Source organism: Homo sapiens, chromosome 3 (genome assembly GCF_000001405.40).
Source record: "Homo sapiens chromosome 3, GRCh38.p14 Primary Assembly".
Classification (NCBI taxonomy): domain Eukaryota; kingdom Metazoa; phylum Chordata; class Mammalia; order Primates; family Hominidae; genus Homo; species Homo sapiens.
Window position 1 is genome coordinate 153653527 of NC_000003.12, and position 26993 is coordinate 153680519.

A 26993-nucleotide genomic window follows, 5' to 3' on the forward strand; every position below is an offset into this window, starting at 1 on the left:
CAAATGTCATATGAAAATGTGATCCCTAGTGTTGGAGGTGGGGCCTAGTAGGAGGTGTTTCAGTCATGGGGGTGGATCCCTCATGAATGGCTTGGTGCCCTCCCCATGGTAATAAGTTCGTGGGAGGGCTAGATGTTTAAAGAGCCTGGCATCTCCCCAACCCTTGCTCCCTCTCTTACCATGCAACATGCCTGCTCCCCCTTTGCCATCCACCATGAGTAGAAGCTTCCTGAGGTCTCACCAGAAGCAATGCTGGTGCCGTGCTTATACAGCCTGCACAACTGTGAGCCAAATTAACTCTTTTCTTTATAAACTACCCAATCTCAGGCATTCCTTTATAGTGAGCCAACATCAACTAATACACGCTGAGTTACTCAATAGCTTAATAGCCCAGTAAATTTGGTGAACCAAAAATATTATTGAAAGGGTTTTATATTTGTTATTAAAAGGGGGCTAATATATCATGGAAAAACATCAAAACTTTTTTGGATATTCCCAAACTTATCTTTTTTTTATTATACTTCAAGTTTTAGGGTACATGTGCACAACGTGCAGGTTTGTTACATACATATACATGTGCCATGTTGGTGTGCTGCACCCATTAACTCGTCATTTAGCATTAGGTATATCACCTAATGCTATCCCTCCCCCCTGCCCCCATCCCACAACAGGCCCCATTGTGTGATGTTCCCCTTCCTGTGTCCAAGTGTTCTCATTGTTCAATTCCCACCTATGAGTGAGAACATACGGCATTGGGTTTTTTGTCCTTGTGATAGTTTGCTGAGAATGATGGTTTCCAGCTTCATCCATGTCCCTACAAAGGACATGAACTCATCCTTTTTTATGACTGCATAGTATTCCATGGTGCACATGTGCCACATTTTCTTAATTCAGTCTATCATTGTTTGACATTTGGGTTGATTCCAAGTCTTTGCTATTGTGAATAGTGCCGCAATAAACCTACATGTGCCTGTGTCTTTATAGCAGCATGATTTATAATCCTCTGGCTATAAACCCAGTAATGGACTTGCTGGGTCAAATGGCATTTCTAGTTCTAGATCCCTGAGGAATCGCCACACTGACTTCCACAATGGTTGAACTAGTTTACAGTCCCACCAACAGTGTAAAAGTGTTCCTATTTCTCCACTTCCTCTCCAGCACCTGTTGTTTCCTGACTTTTTAATGATCACCAGTCTAACTGGTGTGAATGGTATCTCATTGTGGTTTTGATTTGCGTTTCTCTGATGGCCAGTGATGATGAGCATATTTTCATGTGTCTTTTGGCTGCAAAAATGTCTTCTTTTGAGAAGTGTCTGTTCATATCCTTCGCCCACTTTTTGATGGGGTTTGTTTTGTTCTTGTAAATTTGTTTGAGTTCATTGTAGATTCTAGATATTAGCCCTTTGTCATATGAGTTCACAACTAAAAGAACTAGAGAAGCAAGAGCAAACACATTCAAACGCTAGCAGAAGGCAAGAAATAACTAAGATCAGAGCAGAACTGAAGGAAATAGAGACACAAAAAAAACCTTCAAAAAATCAATGAATCCAGGAGCTGGTTTTTTGAAAAGATCAACTAAATTGATAGACCACTAGCAAGACTAATGAAGAAGAAAAGAGAGAAGAATCAAATAGACACGATAAAAAATGATAAAGGGGATATCACCACCGATCCCACAGAAATACAAACTACCATCAGAGAATACTATAAACACCTCTATGCAAATAAACAAATCTAGAAGAAATGGATAAATTCCTCCACACATACACCCTCCCAAGACTAAACCAGGAAGAAGTTGAATCTCTGAATAGACCAATAACAGGCTCTGAAGTTGAGGCAACAATTAATAGCTTACCAACCAAAAAAGTCCAGGACCAGATGGATTCACAGCTGAATTCTACCAGAGGTACAAGGAGGAGCTGGTACCATTCCTTCTGAAACTATTCCAATCAATAGAAAAAGAGGGAATCCTCCCTAACTCATTTTATGAGGCCAGCATCATCCTGATACCAAAGCCTGGCGGAGACACACACACAAAAAAGAGAATTTTAGACCAATATACTTGATGAACATCGATGCAAAAATCCTCAATAAAATACTGGCAAACAGAATCCAGCAGCACATCAAAAAGTTTATCCACCATGATCAAGTGGGCTTCATCCCTGGATGCAAGGTTGGTTCAACATATGCAAATCAATAAACGTAATCCAGCATAAACAGAACCAAAGACAAAAACCACATGATTATCTCAATAGATGCAGAAAAGGCCTTTGACAAAATTCAACAACACTTCATGCTAAAAACTCTCAATAAATTAGGTATTGATGGGATGTATCTCAAAATAATAAGAGCTATCTATGACAAACCCACAGCCAATATCATACTGAATGGGCAAAAACTGGAAGCATTCCCGTTGAAAAATGGCACAAGACAGGGATGTCCTCTCTCACCACTCCTATTCAACATAGTGTTGGAAGTTCTGGCCAGGGCAATCAGGCAGGAGAAGGAAATAAAGGGTATTCAATTAGGAAAAGAGGAAGTTAAATTGTCCCTGTTTGCAGATGACATGATTATATATCTAGAAAACCCCATCGTCTCAGCCCAAAATCTCTTTAAGCTGATAGGCTACTTCAGCAAAGTCTCAGGATACAAAATCAATGTGCAAAAATCACAAGCATTCTTATACACCAATAGCAGACAAACAGAGAGCCAAATCATGAGTGAACTCCCATTCACAACTGCTTCAAAGAGAATAAAATACCTAGGAATCCAACTTACAAGGGATGTGAAGGACCTCTTCAAGGAGAACTACAAACCACTGCTCAACAAAATAAAAGAGGATACACACAAATGGAAGAACATTCCATGCTCATGGGTAGGAAGAATCAATATCAAAATGGCCATACTGCCCAATGTAATTTATAGATTCAATGCCATCCCCATCAAGCTACCAATGACTTTTTTCACAGAATTGGAAAAAACTACTTTAAAGTTCATATGGAACCAAAAAAGAGCCCGCGCTGCCAAGTCAATCCTAAGCCAAAAGAACAAAGCTGTAGGCATCACGCAACCTGAGTTCAAACTATACTACAAGGCTACAGTAACCAAAACAGCATGGTACTGGTACCAAAACAGAGATATAGACCAATGGAACAGAACAGAGCCCTCAGAAATAATGCCACATATCTACAACTATCTGATCTTTGACAAACCTGACAAAAATAAGCAATGGGGAAAGGATTCCCTATTTAATAAATGGTGCTGGGAAAACTGGCTAGCCATGTGTAGAAAGCTAAAACTGGATCCCTTCCTTATACCTTATACAAAAATTAATTCAAGATGGATTAGAGACTTAAATGTTAGACCTAAAACCATAAAAAACCCTGGAAGAAAACCTAGGCTATACCATTCAGGACATAGGCATGGACAAGGACTTCATGTCTAAAACACCAAAAGCAATGGCAACAAAAGCCAAAATTGACAAATGGGATCTAATTAAACTAAAGAGCTTCTGCACAGCAAAAGAAACTACCATCAATGTGAACAGGCAACCTACAGAATGGGAGAAAATTTTTGCAATCCCACACTTATCTTAAAGTTTATGGTTAAAAAAATATTTAAACATATTTGGGGTTTAAAATAGCCCTTACCACACTTAAGCACAGGCTGCCTTAATACACTTCCTGATAACAAGTGTGTAGGTGTCTTTGCAACACAGAGAAGTGACAAATAAAAACTTTGCAACAAGGAAAACACAAATCTAGACATGACTGTTTCATCTCTGTGTAATAATCTCTCTAAATGAAAGAATATCACAGAAATGGAGAAATGTCCAGGACATACCATCAGAGAAATCTGCCCCTTCCTCACTTGGAATGTATTTCTGCAGTCAACAAGTAAATTTGGTTCACAAGTGATTCCCTAAAATTTCTAGTTGCTCCCAGTGTTTTTATATGAGTGCCGTTACTACAACTTCGAAATATGCTGGCCATAAAGAAAACATTATTAAAATTACACAAAAGCAACAAAATCAAATCCCAACCACTTACAGTTCTGTATTTATCTCCTTTCTTCAGGGAAATGTCAACCCTTCAGAAGCTCAGCCTTTGTAATTACATACTGACTTCAGTCAGGTGGGAGGAATCCAAAGTCTCAAAACCTTCACAGCGGCTTCTAATCCTGGTGTGCATTGGAATCACCTGGAGAACCTTTTATTCAATAGTAGCCATGACTCCTCTCTAGAATCTAAATTAATTGATCTGGGGAGGGGCCCCTAATAATAGAATGCTCTCAAAGCTCCCCAGGTGATTTTCATATTGCAATCAGGTCTAAGAAGCCCTGTTCTAAACTTAATATATATTCAAACTGAAATAAGACATCTTGGCTCTTAATTTCTTTAACATCAACTGTTAATTTTTATATAGAAAATAGGCATTTAAAGGTTTAGCAACTGAAGTCATTGCCGCAAAAATTAAGTGGTATCCTTAGTTTCAGAATTTTTTGCCAACTGACATGTTAAATGAACCAGAAAACATTCACCTACATTCTTACTCTGTAATGATGAGAATCAGAAGACGGACTAGACTCGCTAAAAGCGAATCCCAGCTCCTCAGAATTTCCTCAGCTGGATTTGAGAAAGTATGAGTCTTTACTGATTTGTCCTATTTCAACATCTCACTTTACTAAAAGCCTTGAGTGACTTGCCACCACCCACTTCTGTTAGCACTCAACAAAATAAGATGAAGAAAGAGGGTTGTGCTGGGAAATGTTTAACTAGTTCTCTTGGGGTGAGATGGGGCACTTAGGGGATTTGCAGTGTTTGCTGATTTCCATGGCACATACACTCCTACTCCCACTGTAGTCAATTTTAAGCTATATTGACAGCTTAACAACTGGCTTGCAAAATTTTTTGAAAATTTCACAATTTCCTGAGCCAGTATAAGCCAGGTCCAGCATTCCACTGTGAAATTACTAACATGTTTGTGTATCAGAGTCCTTGCTTGGCAAGAATTGACATTTAGTTGCATCTATCTTATTACTTGACATATCTCCCTATGAATATCAATTTGAAATTTTTGATTCACAATTGACATGAAGAACATTTCCCAGCGGAGGCTATACTTTAACTATGTTTTATCCACAATTGGGGTTCAATAATTCAGAGGGAAGAGGGTAAAATAGATAAGATTTTAGTGACTTTAAGAGAGAAACCATCAAAAGAAAGAACTTCTATGATGAGCTGGATTCAGCAGTAAACCCTAAGAAGGAAGGTAGGCAGTTCTTCTATAATAGGAGATGTGGCATCTTGAAGGCCTAATTGAGCTGGATGGGCCATTAAGATATACCAGGTTTAATCTGTAACTTTGACAAAGTTATGAAATAATTTTACTAATATCTTATCAAAAAAGTCATAGAGGTTATGGGATTGGCTTGAAACCAGTTTTTGGGGGTTCAATTCCTTGTCAGAGGAATTGAACTTCCTATGTCAGAGATGTCACGCTATTGTTAGTAGAGTTCAGAATGAACACAGATATGGAAAGTTATTTAGATCCAGCTCATTTGTGCAAGGGGAAGAAAAAAAATTGTATCAATGAGCTAAATGGTCTGCATCACTAAATTCAGTGTCAAATATGCTACAGGCTCCACTATGAAAAGCCAGAGGAGGATCCATTCTCTTTACTTTTGAGAGCAAAAGACCATCAAAAGAGCTGATAATCAGGCCAGGTACGGTGGCTCATGCCTGTATTCCCAGCACTTTGGGAGGCCTAGGTGGGCAGATCACTTGAGGTCAGGAGTTTGAGACCAGCCTGGCCAACATGGTGAAACCCCGTCTCTACTAAAAATACAAAAATTAGCTGGGTGTGATGGCACACACCTGTAATCCTAGCTACTAGGGAGGCTGAGGCAGAAGAATTGCTTGAACCCTGAAGGTGGAGGTTACGGTGAGCTGAGATCGCGCCACTGCACTCCAGAGCCTGGGTGACAGAGTGAGACTCCGTCTCAAAAACAAAACAAAAAAGGGTTGGTAATCAGAATAGTTAGCTGGAAAAGGTTAAGAGTTCTCAGGTCTTTGGTAGGGACTGGAGTTTCAGAGTAAAGCAGTCAGAGACTTAGAGCTATCAGGATCCAGCTTAACTATCAATAGATTAATATTACATGGCTAGGGACATACAGGTAATTTACATTTCACCCTCCCTCTCCTGCAATTGCATGTATAGGCAGACTAGCATAGTGCTCAAGAGTACACTCAGTATCAGTCTAATTCCCAACTCCACCACTTAATATCTATGTGACCTTGGAACATTTCTCTGTGTACTAGTTTTCTCCTCTATAAAATGTAGATAATGATAGTACCCACTTCATTGGGTTATTACAAGATTTAAATAAGATAATATGTGCAAAACATTCAGCATAATGCCTTCATGGAACATTTTATTATTTTTGGCTAGTGGCCATGAAGAAAACATGGGCAAAAGATAACATAGGTGAGGTATACAGCATCATCCGCACTTGAAGGAAAAATATGTTAAAGAAATGAAATATCTCACCCAAGATCAGATAGTTAGCAAATTGTAATTTAGAATTTGAACGTGAATCAGCCTGACCCTGAAGCTTCTGTTTTTCCCATACGTGTGTGGGAAAATGTCCTGTCTCCCAATGGGGGAAGACATAATAGTGCAAATGGATTATCCAGGATGCTTACCTATCTTGGGGGTGGTTTGGATGACAAATATAATGCTAAGTTGTTGTTTTTTTATATAAAGAAGGATCAGATTTAGGACAGGGACACAAGCAATAAAGAATCCCTTCTAAACCCTGATTAAAGGAAAATGTCTTTTGTTATATAATTTCCACTTTTATTTTAGATTCAGGGGTACATGTGCAGGTTTGGTACATGAGTATATTGAATGATGTTGAGATTTATTATGATTGTTCCCATCACCCAGGTACTGGGTATAGTACCCAATAGTTTTTCAATCCTTATCCCATCCTCCCCCTTCCCTCCCTGCTCTAGTAGTCCCCAGTGTGTATTGTTGCCATCTTTATGTTCATGAGTACCCTATGTTTAGCTCCTACTTATAAGTGAGAACATGCAGTATTTGATTTTCTCTTCCTGAATTAATTTGCTTAGGATAATGGCATCCAGCTACACCCATGTTGCTGCAAAGGACATAATTTCATTCTTTTCATGGCTGCATAGTATTCCATAGTATAAATATACCATATTTTCTTTATCCAATCCACCACTTATGGGCACCTAGGTTGATTCCATGTTTGCTATTATGAATAGTGCTGCAATGAACATATGAGTACATGTGTCTTTTTGGTAGAATGATTTATTTTCTTTTGGACATTTACCCAATAATGAGATTGCTGGGTCAAATGGTAGTTCTAAGTTATTTGAGAAATCTCCAAACTGCTTTCCACAGTGACTGAACTAATTTACATTCCCACCAACACTATTTAAGTGTTTCCTTTTCTTCACAACATCACCAGCTTCTGTTGTTTTTTGAACTTTTAGTAATTGCCATTCTGATTGGTATGAATAGTATCTCATTGTGGTTTTGATTTGCATTTATGATAGTAATGTTGAGCATTTTTTCATATGTTTTTGGCTGCTTGTATGTCTTCTTTTCAGAAGTGACTGTTCGTGTCTTTTGCCCATTTTTTAATGGGGTTGTTTTTTGTTTGTTCAATTGTTTAAGTTCCTTATAGATTCCAGATATTAGACTTTTGTTTGATGCATCATTTGTGAATATTTTCTTCTATTCTGCAGGTTGTTTGTTTATTCTGTTGATGGTTTCTTTGGCTGTGCAGAAGCCCTTTATTATAGTTAGGCCCCACTTATCAATTTTTGTTTCTGTTGTCATTGCTATTGAGGATTTAATCATATATTCTTTCCCAAGACCAATACCCAGAAATGATGTTTCCTAGGTCTTTTTCTAGGATTCTCATAGTTTGAGGCCTTACATTTAAATATTTAATCCATCTTTAGCTAATTTTTATATATGGTGAGAAGTAGGTGTCCAGTTTCATTCTTCTGCATATAGCTAGACAGTTTTTCCAGCAACGTTTATTAAGTAAGAAGTCCTTTCCTCAGTGCTTATTTTTGTTAACTTTGTCAACAATCAGATGGCTGCAGATGTAAAGCTTTATTTCTGGGTTTTCTATTCTGTTCCATTGGTCTATGTGTCTGTTTTTATGCCAGTACCATGCTGCTTTGGTTACTGTAGATTTATAGTATAGTTTGAGGTCAGGTAATGTGATGCCTCCAGGTTTGTTCTTTTTTAAATTTTTATTATTTTTAAAAATGCTTGTGGACACACAGTAGGTATATATATCTATGGGGTACATGACATGCTTTGATACATGCATGCAGTAAACAATAATCACATCATAGAAGACGGGGTATCCATTCCCTTAAGCATTTATCCTTTGTGTTACAAACAATCCGATTACACTCATTTAGTTATCTTAAAATGTACAATTACATTATTATTTACTATAGTCATCCTGTTGTGCTATCAAATACTAGGTCTTATTCATTCTTTCTAACTATATATATTTTTGGTAATCATTAACCATTCCCACTCTGTAGCTCCATGAGTTCAATTGTTTTGTTTTTTAGTACTCACACATAAGTGAGAATATGTGAAGTCTGTCTATGTCTGATTTATTTCACTTAACATAATGACCTCCAGTTGCATCCATGTTGTTGCAAATGACAGGATCTCATTCTTTTTTTTATGGCTGAATAGTACTCCTTTGTGTATATGTATCACATTTTCTTTATCCAACATCCATTGATGGACATTTAGGTAGCTTCCAAATCTTGGCTATCATGAACAGTGCTGCAACAAATAGGAGTGCAGGTATCTCTTCAGTACACTGATTTCCTTTCTTTTGCTTATATACCTAGCAGTGGGATTGCTGGATCATATGGTAACTCTATTTTTAGTTTTTTGAGGAACCTCCAAACTGTTCTCCATAGTGGTTGTACTAATTTACATTCCCGCCAACAATGTACGAATGTACGAGGGTTCCCTTTTCACCACATCCTCTACAGCATGTGTTATTACCTGTCTTTTGCATGAAAACCATTTGAGGCCCAGCGCAGTGGCTCACTCCTACAATCCCAGCACTTTGGGAGGCCAGGTGGATCACCTGAGGTTGGGAGTTTGAGACCAGCCTGACCAACATGGAGAAACCCTGTCTCTACTAAAAATACAAAATTAGCCAGGCATGGTGGCACATGCCTGTAATCCCAGCTACTCAGGAGGCCGGGGCAGGAGAATCACTTGAACCCGGGAGGCGGAGGTTACAATGAGCCAAGATCACGCTATTGCACTCCAGCCTGGGCAACAAGAGTGAAACTCCATCTCAAAAAAAAAAAAAAGAAAAAAGAAAAAGAAAACCATTTCAACTGAGGTGAAGTGATATCTCATTGCAATTTTGATTTGCAGTTCCAGGAGCCTTTTGGCAGAGTCTTTAGGGTTTTCTAGGTATAGAAGCATATCATTAGCAGAGATAGTTTAACTTCATTTTCTATACGAATGCCTTTTCTTTCTCTTGCCTGATTGCTCTGCCTAGGACTGCCAGTCCTATGTTGAATAGGAGTGATGAGAATAGGCATCCTTGTCTTGTTCCAATTCTCAAGGGGAATGCTTTCAGTTTTGCCTGCTCAGTATGATGTTGGCTGTGGGTTTGTCATAGATGGCTCTTATGATTTTGAGGCATGTTTCTTTGATGCCTTGGTTCTTGAAGCTTTTTTATTATGAAGGGAAGTTGGATTTTATTAAAAGGTTTTTCAATGTCTTTTGAGATGATCATTTTTTTGTTGTTGTTTTTAGTTCTGCTTATATGATGAGTCACGTTTATTGATTAGTGTATGTTGAACCAAACTTGCATCCAAGCAATGAAACCTACTTGATCATGGTGAATTAACTTTTTGATGTGCTGATGGGTTTGGTTAGCTAGGATTTTGTTGAGGATTTTTGCATCTGCGTTCATCAGGGATAGTGGCCTGTAGTTTTCCTTTTTCATTGTGTCTTTGCCAGCGTTTGGTATCAGAGTGATGCTGGCTTCATAGAATGAGTTAGGGAGGAGTTGCTCCTCCTCAGTTTTTTTTTTGTTTTTTTTTTTTTGGAATAGTTTCAGTAGAACTGCTACTGGCTTAGAGACAAATTTCTGCAGCAGAATTTCATTCTTTTGTTCCCACACTTCTCCTCTGCAGGCATTGCATTTCTCCATCCAGGGCAGAAGCAAGAGTCAAAACATGTAGCTTCAACAGCAAGCTATTGGCTAGGTGCCGTGGCTCACGCCTCTATTCCCAGCACTTTGGGAGGCCGAGGCGGGCGGATCACAAGGTCAGAAGATCGAGACCATCCTGGCTAACACGGTGAAACCCCTGTCTCTACTATACAAAATACAAAAAAAATTTAGCCGGGCATGGCGGCGCGCGCCTGTAGTCCAGCTAGTCGGGAGGCTGAAGCAGGAGAATGGCGTGAACCCAGGAGGCGGAGCTTGCAGCGAGCGGAGATCGCTCAACTGCACTCCAGCCTGGGCGACAGAGCGAGACTCCGTCTCAAAAACAAAACAAAAACAAACAAACAAACAAAAAAACCCCAGCAAGCTATTGCTTATTCTGCATGGATGGGGGCTTTGTGTTCCATCATTCTTACTCACAGACCCAGAGGTTCTGCTTCACGCCCTGGCAAGTGGCAGTAGCTTATCAGCCAGGCAGCTGCTTTTCTCTACTGCTATTCTGGCCATCCTCTTCTTTGTTTTTGCTTCCCAGAAATAATAATGTACACCCTGTCCCTAAATGTAAGTGGTCAGATAAATTTGGCAAGTTCTAAAGTAAACAAACTGTAATATCAGAACCTTTAATATTTTAATGCACATTAGGTATATTTAAGAGGGAATGTAATATGCAACATTTGGAAATACTGCTTTGAAAACGCAGAGTGCTTATTGCCCAACCATACCATTTTCATCAACCTTCATGATCTTCTGAAGATGGTAGTTTCCATTCCTTTGCCCTTCTCCTAACCGATCAGTCCTGCAAACCAGCCCCACTAGCAAAAATATTCCATTAATAGCTGAAACCATAGTTCTTGCCCAGTGAATTATAAGGTGTGGCGGCTCATGTCTTTAATCCCAGTACTTTAGGAGCCTGAGGCAGGCGGATTGCTTGAGTTCAGGAGCTTTAGACCAGCCTGGGCAACATGGTAAAACCCTGTCTCAACCACAACAACGACAACGACAACAACAAGAAAAATACAAAAATTAGCTGGGTGTGATGGTGTGCACCTGTAGTCTCAGCTACTTGGAAGGCTGAAGTGGGAAGATCATTTAAGCCCAAGAGGTTGAGGCTGCAGCGAGCTGCGACTGTGCCACTGCACTCTAGGCTGGACAACAAAGCAAGACCCTGTCTCAAAAACCAAACAACAAACAAACAAATAAACAAAACCTCCGCAATAACTCTACAATAAGGAAACTCCATGAATGTGGTACAAAGCATTAGAGTAGCTTCCTATCTGAAGTTGAATTTATAATTCATCTTTCACTTTGACAAAAAATTTGTATGAAACAAAGAACAGAACTTTCAAAGCATATCTGAAATATGTGGATAGCTTGTTAATTGGATAATAAACTCTTGAGATAGTTTCAATAATGAACAGCACTTTTTATTTCGATTAGGGTATAAACCAACATACTGAAAGTGATACAAACTGATTGTTCAGAATAAAGAAATAATAATGTGATTAACTGGAGAAGGCAGACCTAGAGCAACATTAATCTGTTTAGAAGCACAATTTAAGTCCCAATTGCATATTTCTTTTTCACTGGGAAATTTTATATCCATTTTTCCCCTCTCTTATTATTTGCTCTTTACAGACAGGCTGGAATACTTCTGGTTTAATTTTATCAGACTTTAAATGGCCTAACTTTTATTCTTATACCATTGTGTTATGAATAATCTGAGGCCGTTTCACATGTTATTGAACCTTCTTGTTTTACCTTTTGCATAGGTTGTCTGTGCTTAATTTGAATGAAAGCTGTATTTCTTCAACCTTGAATTGTGAGACTATTGGAACTTCTTTCAGCTGAAAGATTTATTTCCCTTTGTTTAGAAAAGATAGGGAGTGATAAAAATGTTAAGTAAATATATCCTCTTAATAACAGTCATATCAAGTAATAATTGTACTGATGAATAGTAGTTAATACTAGTTAAGTTCAATATTATGTTAATATATAATATAATGTCATGTTAACTTACTTTACCTGGAGATAAATCAAGTTGCTAAAATATAGGGGGATGGAAGACTGATAAAATATTGTATTCTGCACCGGCCCTGAATGGTGAGCTATATCTTCTGTCAAAATGATTAAAAGTGATGATAAGTTATCTATTGCCTCATTTACTTAACTAATATGAAGATAATAAGGTTTATGTTTATTTGTTTGATTAATTGTATTGCGCTTCTCTGTACCCAGAGCTGGGGTTAAATAAAAAACGTCTTTAAAAAAAATAATCACTCCCCTTAATGATGAGTTTAATGCAAGGTCCTATATATATCAAATAGGAACACACACAGCTGTGGTGGTTTTCCCCAGATGGATAACTATTGTTCAACTCATGCAATTCAAGAAACGTTTGAAGTCCTAAATTTTGTGTATAAATATTTCTTTTCAGGAAAGATATGGTAGATGATTTTCTCATTTTGGAAATGACAGCATTTTGCTATTTATAAAGAAATAAGCCCTGAAAAAAAAGATCTTTATAATTTTACAAAACGTATTGCCACCATTACTTATTTATGGACTTGCTAATGGTAATGTTTGGCTAAAATGCTATCAATACCTAAGGGGAGATGTAGCACATACTTACTAATTAATAGGTATTCTTATCACAAAATGATCATGCTACAGATTGACTCTGCTTGTTGCATTCAGTAAAGCCTTAAAATAAAGCAGGCATGGACTATACTAGTTATGGTAGGTATTTTACATGGTAAGCTACCACTAAAATAATGTATTTTTAATACTTTTTAGTGCTGGGAAAGAGGAGTTCTGATAAGGGTGAGACTGAGAGTGAAGGCAGTGTCCTTGCTTTATGGGAGGCTAGGAATTAAAAAAAAAACCCTGAATTCCTGATTCAAAAAGTTCAAAGTTCATCTAAATAACAATTGTACTGTTAAAGAGTCAGGGACAAACAATGAATTAAAACCTGTGTTCATAGTAAAAAGAGTGAGGAGGAACTATATATTAAATATAAATCTATAGGCAAAGCTAACATAGGGTTTTAAAATGTCATTTAAAGTGATAGTTTTATTTTTCACTAAAGACTGCAAAGAAGTATATTTTCATTTAATTAACTTGCAGCCTCAGTAATAAACATTGGAACAGGACATTATAAAATAGTAAGCTGAAACTAAGATGTGCTAAATGCAAAATGATTTTATCTAATGTTTTCAGAGATGCTCTTTAAAAAGGCTTTACCACGTCTTATCTACTTCTCACCTCACTATCTTGCCTTTGCCTAGCAACAATGTAACATTAAATTCTTTGCTGCTCTGGAACAAATATTGCCTTACTATTTGTTTTCTATCTTTATGATCTGCAATTTGGTTGTTAAAATTATTTGGCAAATGCTTTTGCTTTACTACAGATGGAAGGGGCAGGCATTTATGGTTTGATGTAAGCGCAAGCCAGAATAATAATTGTGTTAGCGATGGCAAGAGTCACTGAACCAGTGTGGACAAAACAAAATGTTTGAATGAGTTACTGGCTGACTAACATGAAATGTCAACTTCCTCAGCAAAGTTCAGCAGAAAATGAAAATAATTTGAAGGAAAAATATATATGTTGCATGAAAAGCCTTTGAAAAGACGGGCTTCACTGTGTGAACTGAGTATTAACAAATGAAGCATCTCAAGAATGCTAACAAGGAACATAGTTACCCATGTATATTTCTGTGCTGACCTAGCATCTAAACCAACTTGCATGCAATGTAATTTAACACTTGAAGATCACAGCTCTGTTGGGCATTGCACTGATCGGTGGAAAATAACAGTAGTAGCTACTTACTCATCACTCTGTCCCGTGCACCCTCCCCCCGCCAAAATTCCAAAAGATTCACTCTAATATTCTAAAAGCAACTGGTCACTTACAATTAAACCTATTTATCACCCCCAAGGAGTTTATTATATAACTTGCTGTTGACCTTGCTTACATAGTTAGTGTTTGTGTGAAGGTATGCTTGTTATCTTAGTAGAAAAGTTCTTACTGTAAGAAAAGTAAAAACAATACCTCTTTGTGCGTTTCTTCAGTACTAGATATAATAAAGGAAGACTGAAGTCTATTTGATGTGTATGTCTTTTTCTTTTTCTGTTTTGGTTTCTGGACAAAAAAAATTCTTTTTTATTTCCTAAATAGAAAAACTAAGACCTTATATCTTTAATTTATCAAAAGTCTGATTTATGTTTCTCATACTGCATTTGTACTTCTTAAATGTATATGCTTAAAAACATATTAAAAACTCTTTTAATGGACCCCTCAAAGACACAATGTTCTCTGTCCATTCTGATATGATCTGAACTCCTTAGTGCTAAAGAAATGTGGATTTTAATTTTGCTTATCTTCACTGTAAGTAGTCTTCAAAATGGTAAGGAAGCAAAATCACCTTTTAATAGACATTTAAAAATTAGTTTCTGGCCGGGCGCGGTGGCTCACACCTGTAATCCCAGCACTTTGGGAGGCCGAGGCGGGTGGATCACAAAGTCAGGAGATCGAGACCATCCTGGCTAACATGGTGAAACCCCGTCTCTACTAAAAATACAAAAAAAATTAACCGGGCATGGTGGCGGGCGCGGTGGCAGGCGCCTGTAGTCCCAGCTACTTGGGAGGCTGAGGCAGGAGAATGGAGTGAACCCAGGAGGCGGAGCTTGCAGTGAGCCGAGATTGCACCACTGCACTCCAGCCTGGGCGACAGAGCGAGACTCCATCTCAAAAAAAAAAAAAAAAAAAAAAATTAGTTTCCTAGTACATAGTAACCCATTTCTCTCTTCCACTTTTGTAATATATATTTTGTACTTGCTGTTAACTATATCAATACACATGCACGCACACACACACACACACAAATAATTTGAAGGGACAGGTGTGGGAAACTCATTTTATTGTCCCATTACCTTTAACTTTCCAGAAATTTACAGGATGTTCTATTTCTCAGAGTTCTATCACTCAGAGTGAGTGATCGAAAAATTTATATTCAGAAAACATGTCAGAGGGAAGGAAGAAGTGAAGGTGTGAGGAAAGGGACAGGAAGGGAGAGGAAGGATGAAAATTACACTATCCTAAAATAGAGACCAAAATCATTTGTTTATCTCATTATGGAACTTGGCTAAGCCATCTGAGTTCTGATATATAAGGAAAAAATATGAAATGTTAAAAGCAAGTTATTCTCTCTACTTTGTTGTATGCTGGAAATTTTCCATAATAAATGTACATGAAAAATTATTCTAAATCCCAAGTCTATAAATTTTTGAAAAAAATTTTTGAAAAATTTTTGAAAAAAAATTTATACAGTAGATTTCCACACTTTCTTCCTTAGCTGAGATTTCAGTGGACCACATCGGACAGAGAAAATATTCAAATTACTATAATTAAAAATGAAATATAATGATCAAAACTAGAAAAATTCATGGGAGTTTGGAGAAAGAACAGATTAGGCTGAAATGGATAAATTGGGAGAATTTTGAATGGAAAGTAGCATTGGGAATGGAATTTGAAAAACGGTTGGAGGGAGTTTGGAGGATATTTGAAGGAGGAAAAAATTGAGAAAAAACAGAGAAGTGGAAAAATTTTGTGTGGTTACGAGGAAAAGAGGTTGTCCAGTGTGGCTGGAACACAGGGAACAAAGAGAGAAGTACTAAAAAGAATGAATGAGATCTAGTATTTGATAGCACAACAGAGTGACTACAGTCAACAATATTGTACATTTAAAAATAACTAAAAGAATATAAATTGGATTGTTTGTAACACAAAGAAAAAATAAATGCTTAAGGTAATTGATACCCCCCTTGCCTGATGTTATTATTATGCATTGTATTCCTATATTAAAACACCTTATGTGCCCGTTAAATACATGCATCTACTATGTACCCACAAAATTTTTTTAATTTTAAAGAAGTAGGGCTCCCCTTGTGGGGAAGTCTTGAAGGCCAAGGTGATAAAGAGGAAGAATAATGGCTGATATAACCAGTAATTTTTAAAAATCTTGTTTGGAGAAAGAAATAGCTACAGACAACTACATAAATCCTGCAGGAACAGGTCAGCGAATTATCACAATGCGAACAATGTGAACACCACCAGATTAAAGAATGTAACACTACCAGCCACCCCAGAAGCCTCTCTTCCACTGTCTCCCAGTCCTTACACCTCTGCCTGTTTTTGAACATTTTGTGAAAGCAATCATATAGTATGTACTCTTTTTATAAGTCTCCTTTCAGTAAGCTGTGTTTGACATTCATCTGTTTTGCTTCCTGGTAGCTATATAATTATGCCACTTTCATTGACATTTATTATTTCACTGCATTAAAATATGCAACTTATTTAATCTATTATTGATGAACATTTGGGGTTTTCAAGTTTGTAGCAAATGTTTATGCCAGCAACTAATGCTGTTGTTTAATGACAAATTATCTAAGTAGAGCATAACCAAATCAGGTGATCTCTTAAAATCATCTGGGCTTTTCCTGGTGAAAGAGATTTAGAATTTGAGGGGGATTTTAAGGGAAGGAGATTCTCTGTTGCTGGCTTTGAGATACAAGAGGTCACATGTCAAGGAATGCAGATAGCCTCTGGGAGCTGAGTGGTCCCAGCTACTGGCCAGCAAGGAAAGAGGGACCTCCGTCCATCAACCCTAGGGACTGAATTCTGCCACAAACTGAATGAACTTGGGTGCATATTCCACCCTAGGTCCTCCATTAAAAGAACATAGCCCTGCCAACTCCTTGATTTCAGCCTGTGAGAACCTGAGAGAGGACCCAGCTACTCCATGCCTGGACTTCCAGCCGATAAAACTGAAATAATAAACAGGAGTTGTTTTAACAAGTTTGTGGTCATTTGTCAGGCAGGAGTAGAAAACCGATACAAGTAGTACATGTGGCAAATGCAAGCCTCAAAGGATTAGTGTGGAAGAACCTCAGGAAGAAACTGAGAGAGCAGTCAGAGAACTATTGTGACACAGGGGAGAAGGGAGTTTCAAGGAGACTGTTTCCAAGAGTTTGAATTGCAACAGAGACAGCAACAAGTATAATGTGTAAGGAAGTAAAATCTTTGGATTCGATGATACATTGGTCACTAATAACTGTCAGAGCACTTAGGGCAGAGGAATCTCAAACTGCAGATATGTGGGGGAAAAATGGAAAGTGAAGGGGAAACCTATGAGTATAGACTTATCTTTCCTGAAAAGTGATTGAGAAAAGACAGAAGTAGGAAACGGGATAATGAGCAAACTGGAAGAGAGATGAGTCTGTTTATATACTCAAAGCAGAAGAGGAATGGGAGAAATCAGAGTAGAGAGGAGAATAACTGAAGTGACGTTTCCAGGTAAATGAGGGAAGATGATATAGTGAGTGCAGATGGAGCAGATGATCTTGAAGGGGAAAAAGGTACCTTCCCTTCTGATATTTACAGTGCAGAAGATAAGGAGGGAAACAGATATAACTAATTTTGAAAGGAGGAAATGGGCATTGGAGGAAGTATCACTCTTAGACCCGGACAATTGGGAAGTACTAACTTGGGCGTCTACAGATCCCAAGCTTTGGCATGCATTTCTCAAAATTTTCAAGTCCTCCACTAAGACTTGGAATTGATCAGAAACAGCAGTGCTTTCATCAGTAGGGTACCCTGGATCAGGACCCTGGGATAGTTCCACACTATCCCTTGTCAACAGAAGTATCTTCCTCAAAATTGTCTTAGATACCTGGGACTGGAGATGGCAGTGCCATCTGAGAGGATGTGGATGGACCTTGGGCCCTATCTTTCCCCTTCAGGACACCCTCTGCTGCTTTGTTACTTGCATGGGCTCTACCAAATGCCCCTAAGATGTTTGGAAATCATACCTATGGGATTGTCATTGGCCTGAAGTTAGTCCCAGATTTTAGGAGAGTGACTTAGTAAGCACCTTGTTCTTGCTGGCTGGTGTAGTAACTTTCTTGTATGGGACTGTGTGAGAATGGGCTGCCAGAATGGCACTGGAATGGTGATTTTTGGTGACACTTGCTTGTGAGGATACAGTCAGCAATCAGCAACCAAGGGCTGTGGGGGTGGCAGCAGAGATCTTTTATCCTATACGCCTTTCACTTATGGCACTCAGGGAAGTCACCTTAACTTCTCTACAGGTGCCTTGTTCAAGCAGTCACTGGGAAATGGCTACACCTATCTTCTCTAAAGGCTTTTATGACCATTGCTCCTTAATACCAAAAGTTGCTTCCAGTCAACCCTTCTCTTGCCTCTCATTGATATGGTGACATTGTGCTCCCCTCAGTTGGTCTTCAGCTGTACTGGAAGAGAAACGAATATTGCCTGCATGAAATGGACTGATCTGCTTGCTTCAACCAAGAGTCATTCACTTACCCTCCTCTCCTGTAGTGACATGTGGAAGGCAGGGTGTGGACATGCTGAAAGAGATCACATTCTTGAAATGCATTCATTATGGCCTAAAACATTCAAAAAAGGACATGATTGGAAGATGTCTTTTTCTATATTTATTTTAAAAGATTCTGAACAATAAATTTAACATGACCAGAAAATGAATTATGGCAAGACTTGGATTTGTGGTCATCATCAACAAAGCAGAGTCAGAACTGTCAAGAGGGTCATTGGAAGCTAATATTCATGGGTGGCACAATGGATGATGTAGCATCATGAGTAATGATGTAATGAGCATTAAATAAGTGATATCAGGGATCTCCTTTTTTTTTTTTTTTTTTTTTTTGAGACAGAGTCTCACTCTGTCACCCAGGCTGGAGTGCAGTGGTGAGATCTCGGCTCACTGCAACCTCCACCTTCTGGGTTCAAGCGATTCTTCTGCCTCAGCCTCCTGAGTAGCTGGGATTACAAGCATGCGCTGCCACAACGGGCTAATTTTTCTATTTTTAGTAGACATGGGGGTTTGCCATTTTGGCCAGGCTACTCTCGAGCTCCTGACCTTAGGTGATCCACCTGCCTTGGTCTCCCAAAGTGCTAGAATTCTAGGCATGAGCCACCATGCGCAGCCCTCCTATTGTTTTAATACAGACATTGGATATTGTGATTAATAACGGTACTGCTACCTTTTACTAACGGTAGGAGATACAGAATTAACCAGAAATGGCTCATCTGATAATAAAGAATATGAAGCCACAATTCCTGAACCATCTTTCTAGAGATGGTGTTGGACACTATGAAGAATCTTCACATGCACTGAATAGACAATAAATAAATAAATAAATACACAAATGTCTCTTCTCTACCTACTACGCTAAGTCATCATAAATAATTGCCATAATTTGGCTGGGCGCTGTAGCTAATGCCTGTAATCCCAGCACTTTAGGAGGCCGAGGCAGGTGGATCACGAAGTCAAGGGTTCAAGACCAGCCTGGCCAATATGCTGAAACCCCGTCTCTACTAAAAGTACAAAAATTAGCTGGGCGTGGTGGTGGGCGCCTGTAGTCCCAGCTACCAGGGAGGCTGAGGCAGGAGAATCTCTTGAACCCGGGAGGCAGAGGTTGCAGCGAGCCAAGATCACACCACTGCAGTCCAGCCCAGACGACAGAGCGAGTCTCTGTCTCAAAAAAAAAAAAAAAAATTGCCGTAATTCACATGGGTCCATTAATTTAGTAACACTTTCTTTAATAATCAAATTGTTTCTACAAATAGGGACCCTGCAATAAATTTATTTCCCCTGAGTCCTACATGCCCTATAGGCAGCCCCTGAATGAAGATAATTCACATTTTCTCATCTTAATTTTATCTATAAGGTGAGATTTAAGGTCATCAGCTACAAGTGAAAAGGGTGATGTTTTTGAAGAGGTGTGAAAAGAGTTGGTGAAGATTTAAAACAACCACTAATGAGAATGGGACACAGTTCTGTTTTGGACACATAAAATGAATAATGGCCAGTTTTAAGAACCTGGTTAAGTGTGAAGACCATGAATCTGTACTGAGCAGTCTATATATCTGAGGAATTTTATTCCAGCAATTTTCAACAAATCATGTATAAGAGTGGAAAAGACAGACAGTGAGATTAATTCTAGGCTTAGTACTGGCCAGATAGTTGTAGCAGAAAGACATGAATCCAAGGGTATTAAGAGAGATTTGGGTGATCTATCATGGGTTTCAGGATGAGTGGTGATGTAACGTAAGACAGAAGTAAACTAGTAGTTCTTGGAGACAAAACCCAGAGTTGAACCAAAGGTAAGGGATTTTTAGGATGATAAGAGAGCAAGAGGTATAGATGAGTCAGGTGCCAGCACCTTCTATAACTTTGACAAGAAACAGGGAGTTCAAGGTTGTATAAACAGACATCATAAACCTCCTAGGGGAAGCGTTTAGCCACAAAGATTGATGAGTAATGGTGCATTACTTTTCTATTGATGCTGTTACAAATCACAGATACTTAGAGGCTTGAAACAACACAAACTTATTATCTGTAGTCAGAAGTTCAAAGTCAATTTCACTAGGCTAAAGTGAAGGTCTTATCAGAACTGCACTCCTTCTTGAGGCTCTAGGGGAAAATCTGTTTCCTTGCCTTTTCCACTTTGTAGAGGCCACCTGCATTTCTTGGCCCAAGGGCCTTTCTACCATTTTAAAAGTAGTATCCTTTCTCCTCTCTGATCTCTGCTTCTTTCCTTATAATTTCTTTCCCTCGAACTCTTATCTTTCTACTTCCCTCTTCTAAGGACCCCTGTGATTACAATGGACCCATCCAGATCACCCAAGATAATCTCCCCCAGCTCAAGACCCATAGCTTCATACATGTGTAGTCTCTCTTATCATGTAAGGTAACATATTCACAGGTTATCAGGAATGGGATGAGAACATCTTTGGGGGTGGACATCATTCAGCCTCCCACAAATAGTGTATTGAAAGAATGAATATTTCTGCTTGGAGTGCTCTGGGGGCATTTGTATTCACCAGACAGGGCAGGATTTTGCTAGGGCAAGAAAAAGGAAAATATATCCTATGTCAATGTTGAGCCCAATCACAGAACAGTGGAAGAGATTCAGCAACAGAAGTCTGTAATGGAAGCTTCCAGACAAAATGACTGGGCTTTATATTGTTTATTTAATCAGTAAAATAAAGTAAATTTGCAATGCCTGAGAAGTAGTTATTTTTTTCATGTTTGCATTGTCTTTTTCATTTATAAAAAAGGGTGTTCCATTCTATGACAAGCTTCACACAATTGAAATTGAAAGCATTTCTATTTCCTTGAAAATGCATGAATTTAGATTCTGAAACTCAAGAAAATTACATTATAGTGGAAGGCAATGTGTCTATACTTCATATATTGCATAATACTTATATTTCTTAGACTCATGCTGAATAGAATGAGAAAGTCAGTATCATTTATGTCAACCTTTAAATGGTACTTTTGCAAGAAAGTAACAAAAAAATAAAAAAACCAATATCCTAGAAAAATTCTGGATATTCTAGTTGCTGACTGAATAATGTCCATAATGGGCAAACTATTTCGATAAAGTTTACACTTTGTTATTATTTTATTTCTACACTCTCAAAATTTAATTTCCTTAGATAAATTGATCTGAGATATAATTACTGAAGAGCTGATGTCTGTTAGTACTGGTGACTTGAACAGTTAAAGACTCAGTGTGGCATAACTTCTGCCCCTTCTCATTGCTGGTCAAGGGTAAATTTTTTAAATCTTTTCCTTTAATTTTTATCAAAAGTGGTACCAGGTCCATTTGGGATGAAGCCTGCTTTTTGTCGTTGTTGTTGGTTGGTTGTTTGTTTTTGTTAAGACGGAGTTTCGCTCTTGTTGCCCAGGCTGGAGTACAATGGCGCGATCTTGGCTCACTGCAACTTCCGCCTCCCAGGTTCAAGCGATTCTCCTGCCTCAGCCTTCCCAAGCAGCTGGGATTACAGGCATGCACCACCACACCCGGCTAATTTTGTATTTTTTTTAGTAGAGACGGGGTTTCTCCATGTTGCTCAGGCTGGTCTCGAACTCCCGACCTCAGGTGATCTGCCCGCCTCGGCCTCCCAAAGTGCTGGGATCACAGGCGTGAGCTACCGCGCCTGGCTGGGATGAAGCCTACTTAATATAACCTCGGTTTTAAGCTTTTCATCTCTTAGGCATTTAAAATCATTATTTCTTTTTTCTTTTTAGCTGAAAAAGTTAAAAAGAACGATGAGAGCAACCCCCCTGCTCTCATCGCTGAGTGAGCTATGAGATGGGAAGTTGTAGGGTAGCCTCTCACTGTTATTTCCAACCTGTGACCTAACCGTGAGAAGCACTTTCATCCGCAGTGCCAGTTTCATCTTCTCTATTAGCAAAACTTATAGGAAATAGTCTGAGTCTACCTGCCCCTCTGGTACTGTCAAAGCATCAGTAATTTGTCTTTCAAAAAGACACAGGAGATGAATTTCTGTTTTCTTCTTCAATATAACTAAGAAAATGGATATAGTATAAATCTAAAGAGCTTATCTTTTTCTTTCTGGCTTTTCCTATGCAGCTTTCTTTTTCATCTTATGTGCCTTGTAACCAAAATGTCAGAAAGTTTTCACTCGAATTTTACAAAGCTGTAAGTAACCTATAAATGTTGGGTAAATAAATTTTTTTCCAAGTATGAGACGGTCCATCAGATACTTCACCCACAATCTATAGGAAGTTAGTTTAAATCTGGGGTCTGGAGAGAGAAAGTATTGGGTCAGTAGGGTGATTTTATTATTTCACGGTGCATAACCAAAATGAAAATGAGAGCTTTCTTTGTTTTGGGTTGAGTTTTATCATCTTAGTATGGTGAGATTGACTATCCATTGATATTTGATAGATCGACTTTTCCATTGTCTGGGTGTGCTACAGTTTATTTATCCATTTGCCTATGGAAGGACATCTTGGTTGCTTTCAAATTTTGGCAATTGTGAAGAAAGCTGCTATAAATAAAGCTACCAAAAAACTATAGTAATCAAGATAAGGTGGTATTGGCAATAGTATAGGCAGATAAACAGAACATAATAGAGAACCAAGAAATAGAGTCACATAAATATAATCAATTGATCTTTGACAAAAGAGCAAAGGTAATGCAATGGAAAAAAAGGTTAGTCTTTTTAACAAATGGTGCTGGAAAAACTGGACAGCCATGGGCAAAACAAAACAAAAACATCCAGACACAGACCTTATACTCTTCACAAAAATTAGCTCAAAATGGATCACAGACCTAAATGTCAAATAAAAAACTATAAAACTTGGGCTGGGCACGGTGGCTCACACCTGTAATCCCAGCACTTTGGGAGGCCAAGGCAGGCAGATCACGATGTCAAGAGATCGAGACCATCCTGGCCAACATGGCAAAACTCCATCTCTACTAAAAATACAAAACTTAACTGGGTGTGGTGGTGCGTGTCTGTAGTCTCAGCTACTCGGGAGGCTGAGGCAGGAAAATCACTCGAACCTGGGAGGTGGAGGTTGCAGTGAGCCGAGATCGTACTACTGCACTCCAGCTTGGCGATAGAGTGAGACTCTGTCTCAAAATAAAACAAAATAAAAGACAAAAAACAAAACTGTGAAACTCCTAGAAGATAACACTGGAGAAAATCTAATCCAAATCCTTGGGTTTGATGATCAATTTTAGATATAACACCAAGGGCACAACTCTTAAGAGAAAAAATTGATACATTGGACTTCATTAAAATTAAAAATGTCTGCCTCATGAAATACATTGGCAAGAGAATGTAAAGACAAGCCAGAGACTGGGATAAAATATTTGATAAAGGACTCTTATCCAAAACATACAAAGAATTCTCAAAACTCAAAAATAAGAAACTTAACAACCTAATTTTTAAAAGGCCCAAAGATCTTAAAAGACTCTTCACCAAAGAAGATACACAGGTAGCCAAGTAATTACATGAAAATATGTTCCAACTTATATATCACCAGGGAAATGCAAATTAAAACAACAGTGAGATATCCTACACACCTATTAAAATGACCAAAATCTAGAACATTGATAATATCAAATGGTGACAAGGATGTGGAGCAACAGGTACTCTCATTTACTGACAGTAGAAATGCAAAATGACATAGCCACTTTTGAAGACAGTTTGGTAGTTTCTTACAAGATATATTAATATACCTTTACCTATAACCCAACAATTGTGCTTTTTGGTATTCACCCAAAGGAGTTGAAAGCTCATGTCTATACAAAAGCCAACACATGAATGTTTATGCCAACCAGCATTTTTTAATAAAATAAAATAGAAATATCTAGAAATGTTTAAAATAGTAAAAGTGTACATTGTTCCCTGGCATTTCGTTTCAGAGGCAGTAGGTAAGTTTGCATGTATGTGTGTGCACTGTAAAATCATATGTTTAAAATAAATTTTAAACATATGATTACTTTAACACATTGGGGTTTCTTGGGAAAATATTTCAATGGTATTTTCTTTGTACAGGTAAACTCTGAGTAGACTGCATGAGGAATGAGTATCATGAATTGACACTGAATAAACAGGATCCATCTTGTTAAAATTCCTATCTAGGTATGAAATGAAAACTGCAGACAACACCCCAGAGACATCGTTGGAATACACTTGTGAGCTATACACAACATGAAATTGTCCCTATAACTTTCTGTGTCCTATTGCCAGTCTGTTTTCTCTAGCAACTCTTTTCTCAACCTCAAGATTAACACACAATGCAAATATTTATATAAATAAAGAGCAATATATTTAGTCATTTAATAACAATGATATATTTCATTGAATAGTAAGTTCTCCTGTTGTTGCTAATAAATGTAGTTTTAAGAATTTAATCAAAATAGATTAGTTATTTAAAAGTCATTCTTCAAATACAAGAATGACTTTTAAGAGAGAAGTGAGTTAAAAGATGCTGTCTCTTCATCACTAGGTCCCAGACCCCTTGGAATAGAAACCCAGATTCTGGCACAAGGTGCAAATCAAGTTTTTGTCCTGGAAGAAGAATAAAAAAAGGCCTTTCCCTCTAATTTGGGAGGATACAAATACATCATCACAATCCAAACAGTCAAATTAGTGGGAGAGAAAGTAAGATGCTGACCCTGACACACAATTGGGCAATTTACTACTCCAAAATTAGCCTTCTCTATTGCTGTTTCACAAACAAAACTTCTTTAAAAAAATTCTTGGCTGGGCGTAGTGGCTCATGCCTGTAATCGCAGCACCTTGGAAGACTGAGGCGGGTGGATCACAAGGTCAGGAGATCAAGACCATCCTGGCCAACATGGTGAAACCCTGTCTCTACTAAAATACAAAAAGTTAGCCAGGCATGTTGGCGTGCACCTGTAGTCCCAGCTACTCAGGTTGCTGAGGCAAAAGAATCGCTTGAACCCAGGAGGCGGAGGTTGCAGTGAGGCAAGATCACACTATTGCACTCCAGCCTGGTGACAGAGCAAGATTCTGTCTCAAAAAAAAAAAAAAAGATTCATATTTTGCAAGTCTCTTTGCAACGTATGCAGCATATATATATATTAAGTAAGAACCAGAGCAGGAAGCTTAAGACTGGAAATTTAAATAGATGCTTAAGGAACTGCAAATAATTTTTTTAAAATGGATTTAAAAATTGTTCAGGTATAATAATCTGAGTCATTAACAGTAATAAACTAAGTAAAAGTAATTTTAATGTGCTAAATGTATTACCTTAACTAATTAGTATACTCAGAATAATTTTATATTGAGAAGTCTAATTCAATGTCTTAGTGAATATTTTAACAGTAGTAGTATATGATAATCCCTAATAAAATTACCATTTAAGTTGAGTCCTGAACAAAAGTGAGTATTATGACATTCTTGTTGCTTTTGTGTGACTTATAATTTTAAAATACCATAGAAAATGGGTAGTGACAAGGAGAGTAGCTTCTAGAGAAGAAAAAGACAGAGGATATCACGAGAAAGATATCCTTCAAAAATTTTTTAAATTAGATTTTCAAGTTTAATTTTGAAACTGACTCAATTGTTTCATAGAAATGATGTTTATGGTTTTTTTTTTTAATAAACATAGAAATTGACCCTCCCAGTCTTAAAACTTAAGAAATTACATCTGTCTTGTCTGAGTTCCTTTTTCTGAAAAACAACCATCAGGACTCTCAAAGAGTATCAAGGAAGTGAAACTTGAACCAGATCACCACATCTGGACAATGAGATGTCAGACCCCTCACCTGTCATAATTGCCTAAGTGACCACTGCTTCCTGTTGTCCAACTCATCTTCCTTATTCCTCCCTAATTCCTGTTTTCCTGCATGTAGTACATTACTTCCCTGCTATATAAATCCCTAATTTTTAATTGGTTGAGGATATGGATTTGAGACTGATCTGTTCTCCTCAGCTGCAGTACCCAAATAAAGAGTTCTTCCTTGGCAATACTTGTTGTCTCAGCGACTGGCTTTCTGTGCAGCAAGCAACAGGACCGAGACCAGCTCCCTGGCATTTTGGTAACAATTTTATCTAAAATGTTTACATGTTGGGTGAGCAAAATGGGCATTTCTTCATCACATTTAAATCATATACAGTCTCCCAACAAAATGACTTAAGCCTTGGGATTGTTCATCTTTGTGTTCACATTTTCCAAAGATTTTTATCTGGCTCTATTACTGAAAATGCTTTGAGTAAATTTATTTCTCTCAAAGTAAAGGGAGGAAAAAAATAATTATGATCATTTATCTGTTCTTTGGAGACTGAACCTAAGGGTAAAGCACAGTGGAAATCACCATAACAAGTATAAACAC

The 26993-nt window shown here is 38.0% G+C and overlaps 1 long non-coding RNA gene across 1 annotated transcript in view; it reads right to left on the minus strand.

Moving 5' to 3' along the window:
• LINC02006 (long intergenic non-protein coding RNA 2006) overlaps positions 1-26993 on the minus strand; it is a 378977-nt gene that overhangs the window by 269977 nt on the left and 82007 nt on the right. The window contains exon 3 of the long non-coding RNA NR_146713.1: positions 18649-18731. This is a non-coding gene — a long non-coding RNA (long intergenic non-protein coding RNA 2006). The remainder of the gene's footprint in view (positions 1-18648; positions 18732-26993) is intronic.